The sequence below is a fragment of the Homo sapiens genome, chromosome X (assembly GCF_000001405.40).
Source record: "Homo sapiens chromosome X, GRCh38.p14 Primary Assembly".
Classification (NCBI taxonomy): Eukaryota; Metazoa; Chordata; class Mammalia; order Primates; family Hominidae; genus Homo; species Homo sapiens.
The window spans coordinates 110,316,725-110,335,778 of NC_000023.11; the positions used below are offsets into that span (position 1 = coordinate 110,316,725).

The following is a 19,054-nucleotide window of genomic DNA, read 5'->3' on the forward strand; positions in this document are numbered from 1 at the left end:
GGAAACCATAACAATTCCTACACATTTACTATTTAACTGTTCTCAAATCATCAAGTATAACATGGATTTCTTAAAAAGTGAAATCGACACAAAAGCGAATGCACGCTTAATGTACAAACTGACCGTGGCTCTGTGGGGACAGTTCTCTTTGAATGAGCTATTATCCAGACGGTGGAATGGAAAAAAAAAAAAAAAAGGTCGCACTCTTCAAATGTGAGGAAGCCGGCAGTGCGCTCGCTACACGAGAAACACATTTTAATGGGTGTATTTGGATAAAAATAAGTAGTAAGGGAAAAATGTGTTTTAAGAAACCTCCCCCCTTCCCAGGGCACAAGAAAACCCAGAGGAGAAGATGGGTAACCTCACAAGCTCCAGAGCTAAGTTCCATCACTAACAGAAGTTGGATAGTTGCTATTTTTCATCCTGCAATGGGATAGTAGTTCTCCATGTGCAAGATACGCGGGGCGGGAATACTGGCGGGGCTTTCACTTGGGGTAATGGAAACCAAAGTGAGGAGAGGTCAACACCTTGAGTAACCCAGATCTCCAAAACCGGGGCAGGGTGAGGGGTGGTGGGGGTGGTGAAGGAGACAAGTAAAGGAGTCAAAACTCCTCGAAGTCATCGCAAAGAGAAAGCTAACACCTCTAGGAGCCACGGGGCCATTCCTTGCAGCAGCACCCTGCTCCAAGTGTGGGGTGCCTGCCTCGGAGGGCAAAAAGCGCAGGGTGCCCTTAGTTCAGTTGAGTAGCTCCGGGGACCCGGGCAGCGAGAGGGCAGGGGCATCCGCCGGCCGGGAGGCGGACTCGCACTTTGCCTCAACTCTGAGCCCCATCCCGAGCGCAAGGGAGAGGGCGGCGGAGGGCACGGTACTCACTAGGGCTCGTTGGTGAATCGGGGGGTCCGGGGCTGCTGGTATCCATACAGGTGACAGTAGAGCACATCGAAGCAAAAGCAGCACATCTCTGCTGACACCACCATCTTCCGGGAGCCCGGCGATGAGGACGAGGCGGCGGACGATGAGGAGGGTGAGGAAGAGGTGGCGGCGGCCGGGGTAGAAAGTAGGGTCCCCACTCCGCAGCTCGGAGGTGGCGACAGGGCGATCCCCCCGCCGCCGCCGCCGCAGCCCTGGGGGGGAGAGAGGGTACAGCCGCTGCCGCTACCTCCTCCGGTTAGACCTCCCAGCCCGTTGAGCCGCGTACCGGCGCCTCCTAGTCCCAGCTCCCCAGCTCGGCACTGGCTCTCTCCGCTGCAGTGGGAGGAGGAGGAGGCGCCACCACCGCCACCCGAGCCAGAGGGGGGCGAACTGGACAGTTTCTGCTTCTTCACCCCGCAGCAACCCGCCGCCATCTTGGAACAGTCTCCCCCACGCAGCGTTTCCGACCCATAAGTGAGGCGAGCTGGCGGCGGGGGCGAGCACGCTGCGGCTCAGGCCGCCGGGGGCGCGCCAGAGGCTGGCGGGGCGCGCGCGCGCCGCTCCCGGCCCCGTCTGCCTAGCCACGCGGCTGCCCCGCGCGCGCCCCCGCCTCGGTGCGCGCTCCTCGCTTTCGCGGCTGGGCGCCTCGCGCCTGTCCCGCCCGACTCGTGCCTCTTCTGAGCCGCAGCCCCAGCCCCAGCCCCAATCTCAATCTCTCCGGCCGGCAGAGGTTGGAAGACAGGAAGCCGATTAGAAAGGAAGGTGAAGGAAACAAGAGTCAGACAGCGGAAAGTGGGAGCAAAGGGAGAAGGTGGGCACGCCCGGGAAGGAAGGAGGGAAAGGGAAACTAGTGGGGGTAGGGGGGAAGAAAGGAGAAAGTCCGAAGTAAGCATCCAGGTCCCAAAGCACAGCTCAGTAACCCCCCGCCGCAAGCAGTATTAATGACACTTAAGCCCAGTTACGTGGAACCTGAGCCACCCGGCCTCAAATACACGGGTTTCTGAACTGTTGGAGTGTGAGCGAGCAGGTGCCCAGAGCTCCATACCTGAGACCGCCCCTGTAAAGTGTGTACAAAGCAATCCAGGAAATGGCCACGCTGCTGTCTTTTTAATTCCAGCCTAAGCACACACCAGGGTACTCTTTCCTTTCCTTATGGAGAAATATTCAAGTCCGACTGAATCTATGTATCTTGTACTTGTTCCCCCAACTTACCCTCCTTGCCCCGTTTAAACATTTAAAAGCCAAAAATAAAGTCCTAACTAATACTTCACTGGTTCAAAGATACTAATTGTGCTTTGGGACTTGCAGTGGTGGACTTTTCTGGTTTTGGTTTTTATTTCTTGGCTTGGGTACAAAGCAATTAGGAATATTATCTGTAGTGCTCAGATCTTAGAGATAAATAGGGAAGGTAATGTACTTAGTCACAAATTGAAAGATTTTGTTCAAGTATATAATTAGCTCTTAATATTCATTTTTAAAATTTCTCAATTAAATGCTTGGATGGATGAGGAGACATATGAGTCAGTCCCTTTCTGGGTGCCTAAGTGCAGCTTAATAATAAAAATAATGACAATAATCAAATGTTAAAATTCGTAGAAATGAACGTGATAGAAATAGAAAGCGTAAGTTATTTGCATTGTATCTACACCATGCTAAAACATCTAGATAAAGTCAGGTATCTGCATATTTAAAAACTGCAGATTGATTTTTGTCACCTTTTTTCTACATGCGTGGGATCTTGCAGATAGCTGGGGGCTGTTCATTCCACTCAGGGAATAAAAACAAAACAATTTATTCATTCAGTAATATTGAGCCTCTGCACCATACTATGTGCACAACACTATACTTCTGTTGAAATCCAGGGCGTACTCAGGAAGTATGCCTCCCGCTCTAAAAGAGTTTATGAATTAAGTCAGATACATGCACATAATCAGATAAATAGCTATTATAGTATGTATTGAACACTTTTTAGGTCTCCAATACCATACCTCGTCCTACCCCATAATCCTTCAGAATAAGATACTATCTCGTTTTATCTTCACAACAATGCTCTGAGGTTACTCATTAACAGATGAGGCTATTAAACCTCAGAAGTAATTTGCCCAACATCACACACCTAGAAAGTAACAGAGCTAGGATTGGAATGCTGGCATGTCTGATTCCAAAAACCATGCCATTATACTACATTGCCTCTCACTAACAATATATGATAACAAGGCTAAGGATGGACAAAAGATAGTGACATTACACTCCAGCAGGTGGAACCGAGGTTAAACAGAAATAAGAACTTAGTTTTTATGGAAAGATTGAGAGACACTGAAATATGTTACCAAGGAAAGATGAAAAATCTCCTTCCAAAAAGATTTTATGAGATAGATAGATGAAAATCTGGAATGGTTAGATGCAGCCTAAAGACAAAAGGGATAGTTTAATTGGTCGGTGATATGTAATTTCATCCTCTCAAACTTCATCACTGTTAGAATTAACCTTAAGTATGAAACAAATAACAATTCTTTGTCAATTACTAGTGGAGTAAAAAAATGCATTAATATTTTGTCTATGTTACAGAAGAGAAAGCAGATTGGTTTTTTTAAAAAGCACCACAACAACTGGTATGTTAGGGTGTTTTGTACGTTAGGGTGTTTTGTTTTGTACTTTGTCCTTAACTACCACAGGCTACCTTTTAATTTTTTTGAAACTAGACTGAACATAATATCAGACAATAGGTATCGATTTACTCCCCACCCCACTAAAGTGATCATTTCTAGAGTAAAAAACCAGAGCCATTTAATGACATCACAAAACAGTTTAGCACAGGAAGCAAAGTAGGATACCATGGATGGCTGCTTCTGCTAGGGGAATTTAGGAAAGCAGAATGTAATCTCCCAATTTAGAATTTGGCCAGTAGACAAGAGTCTAACGCCCCTACTCTTGTGAAAAATAGCAAGGAATCTTTAATAAGCACCAGTAGTCATGTCCTTAGTTCTGCATTTCATCTAAAAGACAAAGCACTATCATGGCTATCCTGCCAGGCTAAGGGACTGATGCAATGGGAAAACCCAAAGACAAGGACACCCCAGCTGAATTACAAAAATAGCTTTTCCCTAGAGGATTTTCAATTCCAATTCCAAACCTCACTAGCATAAAGAAAATAGACAAACACAAATGTGATAATTGCAGAAAATACATCATTACCTGACCGCTAGGGGTTATTATCTAAGTACTTTGTTGTATTGGCTGACTAAAAGGGGGAAAAACACTAACCTTTATCTTTGTGTTAACTTCTCCTGAGCCTGGCTCATCTCCCATACTAACCTTGAGCCTCAAGATGCTTTATAAATCGCTTGGCAAGTAGTGGTGATGGTGGTAATGTCTCCTTTAGGCATTTGAGGAAATGCCTCTCCTGGCCTTGTTTTCTTGTAAAGTCACCAGCATAAAAAGAAACATATTTCATTCAAACATAAACTAAATCCACAGAACAAATTCTGTGAAAAAAATTTTTTTACATCTATGCAAAGTGCACACTGGGTGGATAGAAAAACTGACCTTGCTCAGGATTCTCTTGACTTGAAGTATAAAGGTCAAAATATGATAGAGCACATGGTTTCTACCCACTGCTGATACTGGACTGCAGTGATAATACCCTCCAGAGGAAACTTTAAGTTGCCTTCCTCTCTTTGTAACTGACTGTCAATCTGGGAGCTGAAGATTCCACTTAAAAAAAAAAAATAGGCCATAGTCTCTTTGTCAACAAAGCACATTCAAATTGTGAGCATTTTTATTTCTGCAATTTAGAGGCAGCTCTAAATTGCTGTTAACTAACTCCTGTCAAAGGCTTTGTTTTACAACTGTGGAAAAAAATACTTGGACAGAGGTTATGCATATTATTTATTGTGCAGCAAAGCTAGTAATTGAATTAAACCCAATAGTTAGTTAATATATTATCATTGCCTCAATTTGTTCTCGTGTTTACAACATAGTTATTTTTTCATTTCAGAAAATAAGAATAATTATAATTCGATGAGGTGGTGAACTTAATGTTGCAAAATTATTTTCTTAGGTTTCTGGGGTTGTGGGTAAAAGGAGGAACATTCACATATTTCATTGAAAAAAAAACCTGCCATTTATGCCCAAACAAGTGTTATTTTTATCCTCTGTCATCAAACTTTCTCAACTGTCATCCTTGAACAACTGCAGAATGTAATATTCTTAGCTACCACTTTGATCTAACCTTGTACACGTATAACACATGGTTGTTGTGGTGGAGGTGGTAATCAGTTCCCTTTTATATTTGAATGAATACGTGAGTAAATACTGAAATTCTTTACCTACTTTTCAATTCAAATTCGTAAATCAGTTTTTGTTTTTCTGATTACAAAACAGATCCTTCCTTCCAAAATTCTTTCTTTATCTAATGAACACATTTATGAGCAAAAGCACCATGATCTACCTTGGATTGTTTTCTAGTTGTTTCATTTACATCTTCTATTGTCAACTTGAGTACAAACTAATTGAATGTTGTTTTGCTACCTATTTCCTTTAGAGAAAGTTCTATAAACTCCTTAATGAGATTTAGATATGCTAATATCTACTCTGAATGTGGAAGAATTAATAAAGCTAGCTAGTTGTAGATTGGAGAAAAAGGCTTTCTAGGAAGAAGATGATCAAACAGAGTGTTATTTGGGGCAGTTAGAGGAGTTGTGAACAATCAAAACATGAAGGTGTCTACTATAGTTTGGGAAAGTCTTTACTTGACTGTTTTTCTCTTTTCTCTCTTTTTAAAAGAAGAATTCATCTACTAGCTTCTGTACATATATTGGGGTTTGAAAATGTACATAATGAAACCCAATTGGCCTCACCTGAAAAGTTAATTATAAAAATATAGCTGTTTAACTAATCTCATTGTGTTCTGGGGCACCTATTCCAGTTGGTTGGAGGCACAGTTTTGGCAGGGTGAGGATTAACATTGTCAATTAAAATATAAAAGTCTGTTCTGAATTAAGTCTCTTTTGTACAAATAATCAATGTAAAGTACAAACTCACTCATGGCACCGAGGAGCAGAAATCTGATCCCTATAACCTCTGCTAGATCCCACTTGAAGTGTAGCTCATTTTGCCTCACTCTATTCACTGCTTAAATGTTCACAATTTATGGCTTATTCTCTCAGCATGAGTAATACACAATGATTGTGTCAGGAAGCTCAGTCGTCTCTCATTACTTACTATTCGGGATTCCTACCCTAGCTCCTAATAGTGCAGCTAACCCTCCAAACTTCAGCCAGATCCTCCATCTGGCCCCTGACGTTGGCTATCCACCCTACAGCCTTTTCTTTGGGGCTGTTCACCTTATGCCACAGCCACTGCCTGGTAAGTAGGCTGCTGCTTAATCCTCAGCTGACTTCTGCATCTTCCACAAGATTCCACAAGGGATTCTAGATTTCTTTCATGCCACTTGACGGTCTTCTAAAACCTCAAGCTGCTATTTCTATTGCAGATACTTCATGGTAGCATATAGCTTTTCTAAGGGGCTTGAAATTTCCCATGCTACACTCTGCTCTGTGTTTCCTCCAGAATTCTCTGGTTTGTTCTTTCTTTCTTCTTTTTATTGAGATATAATTCACAAAGGATACCATCCACCCATTTAAATTTTACAATTCGATGATTTTTAGAATATTCATGCAGTTATGCAACCTTCAACATAATCAATTTTGGACACTTTCATCACCCCAAAAAAGATACCCCATACCCATTAGCAGTTACTCTTCATTCCTTCCTATTCCTCTTCAGCCCTAGACAACCTCTAATCTCCTTTCTGTCTCTATGGATTTACCTATTCTGAGCATTTCATATACATGGAATCATATAATATTTGCCTTTTTGTGTCTGCTTTATTTCAGTTCACATGATGTTTTCAAGCTTCCTCTATGTTGTAGCATCTACCAGTACTTCATTCCTTTTTATGGCCAAATAACATACTGTTATATGGATATATCACATTTTGTTTATCCATTCATCAATTGATTGACATTTGGGTGTTTGCACTTTTTGGTTGTTATGAATAATGTTGCAAAGAAAATTGGTTTACAAGTTTGTGTGTAGATGTGTGTTTTCATTTCTCTCATTTCATTTCATTTCTCTCATTTACCTAGTGGTGGAGTTATTGTGTTATATTATAACTCTGTACTTAACCTTTTCAGAAACTACAGACTGTTTTCCAAATTGACTGTACCATTTTAGAATCCCATCTTCAGAGTCAAAGTTGGGATTACAATTTTAAACTTTTTTGTTAAATTTATTCCTATTTTATTCTTTTTGATGCTATTGAAGATGGAATAATTTTGTTAATTTCAGTTTTGGATTGTTCATTGTATTTTTTTTTTTTTTGAGATGGAGTCTCACTCCAGGCTGGAGTGCAGTGGCATGATCTTGGCTCACTGCAAGCTCTGCCTCCCAGGTTCAAGCAATTCTCCTGCCTCAACCTCCCAAGTAGCTGGGACTACAGGTGCACGCCACAATGCCCAGCTAATTTATGTATTTTTAGTAGAGTCGAGGTTTCACCATATTGGCCAGGCTGGTCTCGAACTCCTGACCTCAAGTGATCTGCCCACTTTAGCCTCCCAAAGTGCTGGGATTACAGGCGTGAGCCACCACACCTGGCCTCATTGCATAATTTAGATCTTGTATCTTGCAACCGAGCTGAATTCATTTCTTACTACTAATAGTTTTTTGTTGGATTTCTTAAGATTTTGTGTACACAAGATTGTGTCATCTGATAGTTTTACTTCTTTCTTTCCAATCTGGATGTATTTTTTTTTCTCTTGTCTAATTGCTTTGCCTAAAACCTCTAGTACAATGTTGAATAGAATTGATGAGAGCAGACATCCCTATCTTATTCCAGATATAATGGGGAAAGCTTTCTGTCTTCTAGCATTAAGTATGATGTTAGCTGTGAGTTTTTAATAGCTTCCCTTAGGTTGAGGAAGGTCCCTTCTACTGGTAGTTTGTTGAGTGTTTTTTTTTTTTTTTAATTTATCATGACAGGTTGGATTTTTTGTCAAATGCTTTTACTGTGTCTATTGACAGGATCATGTGGTTTTTGTTCTTTATGTTGTTGATGTGGCATATTACTTTAATATACCATAAAATTAATACTTTACATTAATTTTGGGATAGTAAATCAACCTTCCAGTCCTGAGATGAATCCCACTTCATCATGGTATATAATTATTTTTTATATGTTGCTGGATCCATTTACTAGTATTTTTGAGGATTTTTACATCTGTATTCATTGTACATCTACATTCAGTGGTCTGAGTTTTCTTTTCTTGTGATGTTTTTGTCTAGTTTTGGCATCAGGAAAATACTGGTCTCATAAATGATTTGGGCAGTTTCCTTCTATTTTTTGGAAGAGCTTGAGAAGGATTTGGTGTTTATTCTTCTTTAAATGTGTGGTAGAATTTAACAGTGAGGCTATCTGGTCCTGGGCTTTTCTTTGTTGGGAGTTTTAAAATTCATTTATTTTTTTAGTTTGAATTTTTTATGCATTCATAGTGTGTTTATGGAGTACATGAGATATTTTGATACTAGCTTACGATGTACAATAATCTCATCAGGAAAATGGGATATGCATCACCTGAAGCATTTGTCATTTTTTTGCATTACAAACATTCCAATTATACTCTTAGTTATTTTTAAATGTACAATAAATTATTGTTGACTATTGTGCTATCAAATACCAGATCTTATTCATTCCATCTATATTTTTATAGCCATTAACCATCTCCACTCCCCTCTCCCTCACAGGGAGTTTTTATTATTACTGACTCAATCTAGTTATTTGTTACAGGTGTGTTAAATTTTTCTGTTTCTTTTTGAGTCACTTTTGATAGTTTGTATGTTTCTAGGAATTGGTTCATTTCTTCTGGTTTATCTAATTTGTCATACAAATGCTCATAGTATTCTCTTATAATTCCCTGTATTTCTGTAAGGTCTGTAGTAATATCATCCCATTTCTGATTTTAGTAATTTCAGTCTTTTCTCTTTTTTTGTCTAACTAAAGACTTGTCAATTTTACTGTTCTTTTTAAAGAACCAACTTTTGGTTTGGTTACTTTTCTCTATTGTTTTTCTATTCTGTATTTCATTTATCTCTGTTTTAATCTTTATTTATTTCCTTCTGTTTGCTTCTGTTTGCTCATCTGGCTTCTGAAATGGCAGGTTAGGTTATTGAATTGAATTATTTCTTCTTTTTAAATATAGGTATTATGGCTATCATTTTCCCTCTAAGCACTTCTTTAGCTGCATTCCGTAAGTTTCTTTTTCTTTTCTTTTCTTCCTTTTTCTTTTGGTTTTGTTTTCTGTTTGTTTGTTTGAGATGGAGTCTTGCTCTGTCTCCCAGGCTGGAGTGCAGTGGTGCGATCTCAGCTCACTGCAACCTCTACCTCCTGGGTTCAAGAGATTCTCCTGCCTCAGCCTCCTGAGTAGCTGGGATTCCAGGTGTGCATCACCACGCCTGGCTAATTTTTTTGTATTTTTAGTAGAAACGGGGTTTCACCATGTTGGCTAGGCTGACCCCAAACTCCTGATCTCCAGTGATCCACCCACCTCGGTCTCCTAAAGTGCTGGGATTACAGGTGTAAGCCACCTTGCCTGGCCTATAAGTTTTGATATTTTGTGGTTTTGTTTACATTTGTCCCAAAGTATTTTCTAATTTCCCTTGTGACTTTTTGGCCTATTAGTTATTTAGGAGTGTGTTATTCAATTTCCACATATTTGTGAATTTCCCAAATTTCCTTCTGTTTTTTATTTCTAATTTCATTCCACGGTGGTAGATAATATATTTGGTGTGATTTCAATCCTTTTATGTTTTTTGAGGCTTCTTTTATGACCTAGCTTATGATCTATCCTGAAGAATGTTTCATGTGCACTTGAGAAGATTATGTATTCTGCTGTTATTGGGAGGAATGCTGTATAGGTATATGTTAATTCTAGTTGGTGTATAGTGTTGTTCAAGTCTTCTGTTTCCTTATTGAGGTGCAGGAGTGGATCATTCGTAGCCATGATAAATAATTTGGCTTTTATTCAAAGAGCAATGGAAAGACACTGGACGGTTTAGTGAGATCAATTTTGCTGGTATTTGGAGAATGTAATGCAGGAGAACAGAGCAGAGATAAGGAGATCAGTCAGGAGACTTCGTTAATTCAGGATAGGCCTGGACCTAGGTGGTGGCGGTTAAGATAAAAAGAAAGGAGAATTTCCATGTAAATTTTGGAGGTAGAGTCAACAAGACTTACTGACACATATTTTGTTGAGGTCAGGAAAAGGAAAGAATTTATGATTATGACTAGATTTCTGGTTTGGGTAAACAAATAAGTGGTGATGACATATTGGCATGGAAAAGATAAGGACAGGAGCAGGTCCACAGGATATCAAGACTTCTTGACAATGTAAGTTTAAGGTGTCCGCTAAATATGCAAATAGAGATATGAAATAGGTAGGCAGATATGCATGTCATGAGCTCAAATGAAAGGTCTTGACTTGATAAATAAATGTGGGAGTTAGCATACAGACAGTATTAGAAGCCATGGTCTGGACAACATAACATAGAGAAGGAATATAAAGAAAAAAGAGAAAACCAGGATTGAGTCCTGAGGTTGCACAATATTGGGATGAACTGGCTAATGAGACTAAACAAGAGTAGCAACTGACATAGTGGGAAAGCCAGCAGAGTGTTGTGTCACAATATCCAAAGAAGAAAATCTTTTAAGAAGGAAGAATGGTTAATGATGTTAAATACTGAAGGGACTTCAAATAAAATGAGAATAGAGAAGTGTCTATTATATTTAGCAACATGCATGTTGCATGTTGCAATAACATGAGTAGTTTCATTGGAGTGGCAGGGCCAGAAGTCAGACTGGAGTGCACTAAAAAGTGAATGGGGTGGTGGGGAGATGTAGATAGTGTATATAGACAACTCTGTTGAAATACTTGACTCTGAAGAGGAACAAAGAAATGAGATGGTAGCTGTAGAGGAGCACTAGGTCAAAGGAGGGTTTTTATTTAATTAGCGATAGTTCCTAGAAATATTATTTTAAGTAGTTGTTATTATTATCATTATTAGTATTATTTCTTTGATAGTCATCACTACAGTGTTCAGTGAAATATACTTACAAGCAATTCTTGAACAGAAACACTTCTATCCTGAAAAGAGCAAATACTGAGACCACAAAGCATCGATTATTATTCTCTTCTAGTCTCATAAATAAGGAGATCAATATAATAAGGCCTGCCAGAAAAGAATGATAACTGATCCGGATGGAAATGATGAACACAGAGAGAAGACAGGCAACAAAATGCTGTTTATAGAGTTATGGAGTGAGAGAAATAGTTAAAAGGTAAAGAGGAAGGGTGTTAATTTTATAAACTAGCTGTGGGTTTCCAGTGAAAATTTTGATGTCATGATATTTTTACTGCTTCAGCAAACTTTTGCTCCCCAGATCAACAACAAGGCCTAGTGATTACTTTGAGCATAGCTTGGCTGGGGCTGTAGCAAACATCTTCTTAGGCCTTTAGCATATCACCCATTCATTTACTGCACAACTTCAAGCAAGTAATTTAACTTCATTTTCCTTATCTCTTAAATTGCATATCAGTACATACTTCGTAAAATGGTTGTAAAGATTAAATAAAAGAATGCGTCTAATTAAAATGCCTGTATCAGCTAAATAAAGTATTCTAACAAGTAGACCCAAAGATATAATGGCTTAGTAAAACAAACGTCTATTTCCTTTTTTCTTTTTCTCTTTTTTTTTTTTTTAGATGTTTGACTCTTTTTTTTTTTTTTTTAACACTTTAAGTTCTGGGATACATGTGCAGAACATGCAGGTTTGTAACATAGGTATAGACGTGCCATGGTGGTTTGCTGCACCCATAAACCCATCATCTACATTAGGTATTTCTCCTAATGCTATCCCTCCCCCAGGCCCCCACCCCCTGACAGGCCCCAGTGTGTGATGTTCCCCTCCCTGTGTCCATGAGTTCTCATTGTTCAACTCCCACTTATGAGTGAGAACATGTGGTGTTTGGTTTTCTGTTCCTGTGTTAGTTTGCTGAGAAAGATGGTTTCCAGCTTCATCCATGTCCCTGCAAAGGACATGAACTCATCCTTTTTTATGGCTGCATAGTATTCCATGGTGTGTATGTGTCACATTTTCTTTATCCAGTCTATCCAACGATAGGCATTTGGGTTGGTTCCAAGTATTTGCTATTGTGAATAGTGCTGCAATAAACATACAGGTGCATGTGTCTTTATAATAGAATGATTTATAATCCCTTGGGTACATACCCAGTAATGGGATTGCTCAGTCAAATGGTATTCCTTGTTCTAGATCCTTGAGGAATCGCCACACTGTCTTCCACAATGGTTGAACTAATTTGCACTCCCACCAATGTAAAAGCGTTCCCATTTCTCCACATCCTCTCCAGCATCTGTTGTTTCCTGACTTTTTACTGATCGCCATTCTAAGTGGCATGAAATGGTATCTCACTGCGGTTTTGATTGGCATTTCTCTAATGGTCAGTGATGATGAGCTTTTTTTCATATGTTTCTTGGCCGCATAAATGTCTTCTTTTGAGAAGTGTCTGTTCATATCCTTCGCCCACTTTTTGATGGGATTGTTTGTTTTAGAAAAAATCCATTGTTAATCAGGCAGATGACTTTGGAGGAAATATTTTTTTAAAGCCATCCAGCAGAACACCTTCTCATCTTTATAGGACCCACTTCCTGGTCCTTCAACTGTTTCTGTGTCTTCTCACCTTAAAAAAATGAAATACAATGTACAGTAACCTTTTAATCAAAGCACAGCATTGTAGGTGGAGACGGAAAGCTTGCCATTGTTTGTTGTTTAACAGCTGATCCTGGTATTCTGGTGATGCCACTGTGCTGCTTCATTACACTGAACACATAATTTTTCCCTATATTAATGGTATGTCATTTTTTTAAACCGTTAATACTTATGTGAGAATAAGTGTAAGAAAATGATTGCTTGTCAGTAGCATATAAATTCAGAGTCAGGAATGATGGTGATGCCAAACAACCACAGATTGTCTACCTGGGTTGCTGAAATAATGACACCTTTGCTTTGTTCAATGTATACAAACTTTGTTTCATGCACAAAATTACTTAAAATATTGTATAAAATTACCTTCAGGCTATGTGTTTAAGGTGTATATGAAACATAAATGAATTTCATGTTTTTAGGTGCTTTTAAGCTTTTTAAGTGTTTTCCGTGGGACAGTTTGTATATCTAGTCCACCATAGTACCAGTATTGTACCATATGTTTTCTCTACTCCTGCTCTGAGGATGTAAAACTGTTAGAAAAAATAAATCACAAAATTGAGCTGATTGGCTCCATAAAAAAATTATGATTTTCAGCCTCAGCTGGGCCTTCTCTATTGTTCTACAAATCTTTAATTCATCTTTATTCAGTTCCCTTTCTGATTTCCCACAGCAGCTGTTTCAACCCGTTACTACACTTCAATCCTCCCACTCCAACCTCTTCATCTTTTAATCATTTCAGAAAATGAAGCTTCCTACTTCACGACAAAAAAAACGACTTTCAGGTGAGAATCCATTCAACCCTTCTTCATTTCATTCCAAAGTTTTCTCTGTTTTTCATCCTTTTCCTGCTTCCCTCCTCTCTTGGAAGAAGGGGTGTTCTTTCTTACCTCCTTTCCTGCTCTCTCTACCTATGGTCTAGAATAGTGTTACTCAAGGTGTGGTCATGGACCCCTTCCAATCCTCAAACTGTTTGATACTGATCCACAACAGCATAAGCACTGAAATTGAGAGTAAGAATTTAGAAACTTCCATAGCAATTTGATAAATTAATTTTATGTTCGTTGGCTCTAATAATGAAAAATTAGGGTTTATATTTTGAATGTCTTTGTTTCTGTACTGCACTTTTTCTAGTAACTCATTTTTATTATATTTCACAGAAGTACCAATCTGCAACAGCTTGAAAATTTGAAAACCTGATCCTTCACCACAGGTAGTTTGAGAAATATTGGACTAAAACCCATCTTCCACTAACTTGTCTGAGATTTGACTCCATTCATTAACCCTTTTCTCTCTCATTTCTTCACTCTCACTCTCCATAGACATTCTTCCATATTACCTTTGCCTACTGTGTTGCCAACTTATTTCTCACTTTATGTTTACTGCTAGCCTACTTGAAAGAATAACTCTCATATACTGTTTCCACCCTCCTCATCTCTTTAGCCCTCAAACCACAGCAATTTGACTTATGCCCCTACTACTGCTCCAACAAAAGTCACCAGTGATGTCTAAATTGCCCACAAGAATGGCCCTATCTTGTCCTTGTCCTATCAGACCTCTACTCTGTGTTTACTAAAGACCACCCCTTCATTCGAGGACCTCTCTTCTCCTTTGTTTCTCTAATAGCCCTCATCTGATTGTTGCTTTCTTTCTCATGGTCTATAAGGAGAACCCCAAACTCTCTTTTAGGGTCTTCTCTTACTCCAGCTACCTGTCCTTCAGGCCTCTATCCTCAGACTTTTCCTTTTGCTCTGCATTTATTGCCATCAATTTACTCAACATCTGTTTGCTGATGAATCCCAAATATCTTAACTCCAACCCTGACTTCTGTAACCAAGCTGCAGGCTGAGTTTTCAATTGGCTTACTAGATAGTTTCACATGGATATCCCAAAGACACCTGAAATTCAACTTATCTGAGACAAAAACTTATTATACACAACCTTGGCCTTCTTAGGTATTCCCTATTTTGGTTAATGGCCTCTCTATCTACCTGATTACCCAGCCCTGGGAGTCATCTTTAACTCTTACTTATCTCTCATTCTCATACTAAGTCCATCAATATTACCTTAAATCCATTCCACTTCTATTGCCTTATTTCATCAGCTCCTACTGAGAGCCATGTGACTACTCTCTCTATATTCAGTCTATTTTTGGCACCTCCGTCAGAAGGAATATTCAGAAAACATTGTTCTGATCTTATCATTTTCCTGCTTAAAACCTTTGGTTAATTTCTCATCGTCTATAAGGAGAACCCCAAACTCTCTAGCATTGCATATAGGAACATTTACAATCACACTGCAGACTAGTTCTCTAGCGTTGTCTTTCACCATTATCCTCCCCCCAAGACTTTGTACTCTGGTCAGATTATTGGCAGTTCCTTGAGTATGCTATGTATTTTCACTTCTCTATTTTTATTTTAGGAAATTTATTTTATCCCCTTCTTTGCCCATGCTGTTTCCTCTTTTTGGAATGTTCCTCTCCACTTCTTTATTAATAAACTTCAATTCATCCTTTAAGTCCTAAATTAAATATTGCCTCCTTTATCAGGCTACTCTGATATTATAGATCTATTCCCTTCTGCCACCTAGTCTCCCTTCCTTGAGGACAAGGACAATGTTGTGAATCTTTATGTCCCTGGCCCCATGACTACCATATAATGTTTCTTGAGTGACTACAAGAAGTAGAAAATAAAAAAGGAAAATACTCTCCATAAAGGGCATTCTCTAAATAAAATAATTATATCTATGAAGTAATTTTTTTCATATTCTAAAGAAAAGAGAATTTTAGCCCCTTAGGTAGTGGGATCTGAAAGTTACCAGCAACAGACTGTCAAAGAGCATATTGTGGATACATTTCTTTACATCTCAAAGATAAAAGAATATATCTTTTTCTTCTTAAATATGCCATACAATACATAGTACAGTAGTAGTAGCATTGTGTGTGTTCAATAAATACATGCAATATTGAAATTAACTGCAAAAATGTAGATCCATGATTACTGCTGCTTACTGGTGCCATGCCTCAAATTAAAAACTCCCGTTAAGAAATGTAGCAGGGCTTGGGGAAGGATTATGTATTCAAATATTATTTTTAAATAATTTGTCCTTGTTGTTGTAGATTTTTTTCCCTCCTACAAATCAAAACACAGACAAGCCTTTCTGTTCCCCTTTCTTAGGTGCTTTTGCTTGCAAGGTCAAAATCAGAAGTTCAGGAAGATCACCTGAATCCAGAGCTTTTGATTTCAGAAGCCTAGGTTCATTGAGGAAAAGTATGCTGACTTGTCCCAGAGGGTTAACAAGTGAATGCTTTTGAGTAGAGGTGGGAGAAGCTGTCTGACATAGAAGTTGAGCTTCTCCGGGACAAGAGAGGAGACGGGAGTAATGGTAGATTCCATGAGCATCAAGGACTACTTTTGCTGCCTTTTAGTGTGCTAAAGAAGATACAAGATCTCAAGAGAGAATGGAGACATGGTACACTTAAGAAAGTCTGAATACTAGTCCGTGAGGATGCCAGCTTCAGCCAAAACACCCTGCTATCACCACCAATGTGCAAGAGTGGCACAGAAGCAGCTACCCCGTCTAACTTTAAGGGGATTTGCCTGACAAACATATCAACAATGTTGGGTATGCACAAAAGGGCATAGGACCTACACTGAAAGTTGTGTTCTGGGTATCATTTGCTAGGGTCTTCATACAACCTTGACAGAAGGAGGTAAAAACCATGAGGGAGATTGAATTTTTAGCCAGCTGGAAAGGTGAAAGGCTCAGAGCAGATTGAATTTTGTTGTAGGGATATAAAGAAATGTGACATTTTTTGCCAGTTGTTAGAATGGCGATCATTAAAAAGTCAGGAAACAACAGATGCTGGAGAGGATGTGGAGAAATAGGGACGCTTTTATGCTGTTGGTGGGAGTGTAAATTAGTTCAACCATTGTGGAAGACAGTGTGGCGATTCCTGAAGGATCTAGAACTAGAAATACCATTTGACCCAGCAATCCCATTACTGGGTATATACCCAAGGATTATAAATCTATAAAGACACATGCACACGTATGTTTGTTGCAGCACTGTTCACAATAGCAAAGACTTAGAACCAACCCAAATGCCCATCAATGATAGACTGGATAAAGAAAATGTGGCACATATACACCATGGAATACTATGCAGCCATAAAAAAGGATGAGTTCATGTCCTTTGCAGGGACATGGATGAAGCTGGAAATCATCATTCTCAGCAAACTATCACAAGAACAGAAAAGGAAGCACTACATGTTCTCACTCATAAGTGGGAGTTGAACAATGAGAACACATGGACATGGGGGTGCAGGGCTCATCACACACCAGGGCCTGTCAGGGGGTGGGGGTCTGGGGGAGGGATAGCATTAGGAGAAATACCTAATGTAGGTGATGGGTTTATGGGTGCAGCAAACCACCATGGCACGTGTCTACCTGTGTAACAAACCTGCACGTTCTGCACATGTACCCCAGAACTTAAAATAAAATAAAATAAAATAAAATCAGATGGTTTGCTTTTGTTGTTGTCTGGTAGGAGTTCCTTATATATTATGAATATCAATTCCTTATCAGATATAATATTTAAAAATGTTTCTTTTTATTTCATGGATTGCCTTATCACTCTGTTGGTATTCTTTGATATACAAGAGTTTTGAATTTTCATAATGTCCAGCTTACCTCTTTTTCCTTTTGTTGTTTGTGCTTTTGGTGCCATATTCAATAAATCATTGCCAAAAGAAAAAAAGAAAGAAATGTGACATTTTTGCACCCTGGTGTGTGGACCAAATTTCATGGCTGCAATTCTAATTTGGTGTTGTTGGTTACTTACTTGCTCACTTTGTACCTTAAATTTATACTTTTTAAAAACAAAGATAACACCTTCCCTCTACCTTACAGTATTTCTATGACACAAAAATTAAATAAGGTAAGAAAAATTGCTTTGAAAAGGCACAAATGAGTATATTTTAGTAAATTGCAGAAATCAGTGTGAAAAAGAAACCATATTTGATAGCTTTAGTTCCATACTGAACCTAAAGGATATATTATTATAAAACTGATAGCACAAATATATTTATTATCTTAATCTAGGTTGCCTGTATTGAGATATGTTTTTAATATTTTCTCTACAAATGCACTAGTTGTTTTCCTTAGCTTTTCTTTAATTTTCTTGTGTTTAATCGCTTTCAAATGAAAGAAGTCCAGATATATAGTTTCCATTATGAACTACATCTTCAATAATTTGATCTTTACTGAGGACAGTGTTATTCCTAGGGTGTAATGAACTGTAACAACTGCTTCATAACATATAGTTGCTGATGCCTCATGTTCTGGACCACACAGAGTCAGACCTTGGCACATTTCTGCCTGCTTCATTGCCAGCTCCTTGGGCAAACCTTATAACCTGAGAGTGTCTGGGTTGCCAGACTCTGCAGAATCAGATTGCCTAAGTGAAGGGAGGGCATATGTAATATATAAGAGGCACCATTGCACACTGATGGTTAAGGGCACTGACTCTGGATGGTGACTGCATTGCACAACTCTAGGGAACACTTGGCCCAGCTTTGAATCCATTCTACCACATAACAACTACATGATATTAGACAAATCATTTAATTTCAGCCTTGTAAAATGGGGGTAATAATAGTATCTTCTTCATGGGGTTATTGGGAAGATTCAATCATATAATGAATGTAAAGCCCTTGGCACAGTGCCTAACACTGTGCATACCCAATCATGGTAGCTAGTATCAATATAAAAGTATCAGTGGGCAGAGGGTGGGTGGTGGAGAAATGATTCCAAGACCACCTTGGGAGCAAAGATCTGGATTTGCTGGCAAGTCAGACGATCACTAGGAAATGCCATCTGGGAAAAAAATGCCATGTAGTTATGTGTCTGATTATGATTTGACACATACATTCCTCACTACAGGGCAGGAACTTTGTCCTGATTACTGTGATATCCAGCATAGAATGGTGCTTCACACGTAGTAGTCACTCAATAAACATGGGATAAATGAATCAAACTAGGGGTTGCCGATGGCATAGGTCCCAGAGCTCTATAGCAGCCCACCACGGACAGCTTAGCACAATGCCCTGAATATAGTATGTGCTCAAGAAAGAATGAGTGATGTAAGAACCTCAGACAGTGTTGTACTTTACCATATCAGTTTCCACTTTACCTTAGTTGGATAAATTACATCACCCAAATTCAGCTTTCCTTGTTTTGCCTCTATTTCATCAGCTCCAAAGCCCTATCCCAATTTTAGAATCCCTAATTCATCATGTACATTCA

General features: G+C 39.1%; 1 protein-coding gene and 1 long non-coding RNA gene across 5 annotated transcripts in view, besides 6 other annotated features; one reads left to right on the forward strand and one right to left on the reverse strand.

The window, feature by feature from the left end:
- Positions 1 to 19,054, reverse strand: part of AMMECR1 (AMMECR nuclear protein 1) — a 246,048-nt gene that overhangs the window by 122,539 nt on the left and 104,455 nt on the right. For 2 of the 3 annotated variants that reach the window (NM_001025580.2, NM_015365.3), the window contains exon 1: positions 875 to 1,361. In NM_001025580.2, the coding sequence (NP_001020751.1) occupies positions 875 to 1,347 (473 nt within the window). In that variant the 5' untranslated portion in view covers positions 1,348 to 1,361. Of the gene's footprint in view, positions 1 to 874; positions 1,362 to 19,054 lie in introns of those variants that run through there. The other variant, NM_001171689.2, reaches the window with a different exon arrangement.
- Positions 874 to 1,029: a silencer, noted in NCBI's record as "fragment chrX:109560826-109560981 (GRCh37/hg19 assembly coordinates)". NCBI's record gives its function as "represses an EF-1alpha promoter that drives an FKBP-Casp9 reporter gene in an ReSE screen in K562 erythroleukemia cells {active_cell/tissue: K562}" and the evidence as "EXISTENCE:reporter gene assay evidence [ECO:0000049][PMID:32094911]".
- Positions 1,074 to 1,133: a silencer, noted in NCBI's record as "silent region_20940". NCBI's record gives its function as "represses an Ori minimal core promoter by ATAC-STARR-seq in GM12878 lymphoblastoid cells {active_cell/tissue: GM12878}" and the evidence as "EXISTENCE:reporter gene assay evidence [ECO:0000049][PMID:35858748]".
- Positions 1,224 to 1,353: an enhancer, noted in NCBI's record as "active region_29852". NCBI's record gives its function as "activates an Ori minimal core promoter by ATAC-STARR-seq in GM12878 lymphoblastoid cells {active_cell/tissue: GM12878}" and the evidence as "EXISTENCE:reporter gene assay evidence [ECO:0000049][PMID:35858748]".
- Positions 1,224 to 1,661: a biological region, named in NCBI's record as "ReSE screen-validated silencer GRCh37_chrX:109561279-109561613".
- Positions 1,327 to 1,661: a silencer, noted in NCBI's record as "fragment chrX:109561279-109561613 (GRCh37/hg19 assembly coordinates)". NCBI's record gives its function as "represses an EF-1alpha promoter that drives an FKBP-Casp9 reporter gene in an ReSE screen in K562 erythroleukemia cells {active_cell/tissue: K562}" and the evidence as "EXISTENCE:reporter gene assay evidence [ECO:0000049][PMID:32094911]".
- Positions 1,394 to 1,543: a silencer, noted in NCBI's record as "silent region_20941". NCBI's record gives its function as "represses an Ori minimal core promoter by ATAC-STARR-seq in GM12878 lymphoblastoid cells {active_cell/tissue: GM12878}" and the evidence as "EXISTENCE:reporter gene assay evidence [ECO:0000049][PMID:35858748]".
- On the forward strand, positions 1,528 to 17,268 carry LOC105373312 (uncharacterized). Of its 2 annotated transcripts, none has more exons than XR_938503.3 (4): positions 1,528 to 1,724; positions 13,423 to 13,534; positions 13,910 to 13,962; positions 15,926 to 17,268. It is a non-coding gene; the product is annotated as an uncharacterized LOC105373312 (long non-coding RNA). The 2 variants fall into 2 exon arrangements; XR_938504.3 differs by having other exon boundaries at positions 13,492 to 13,534.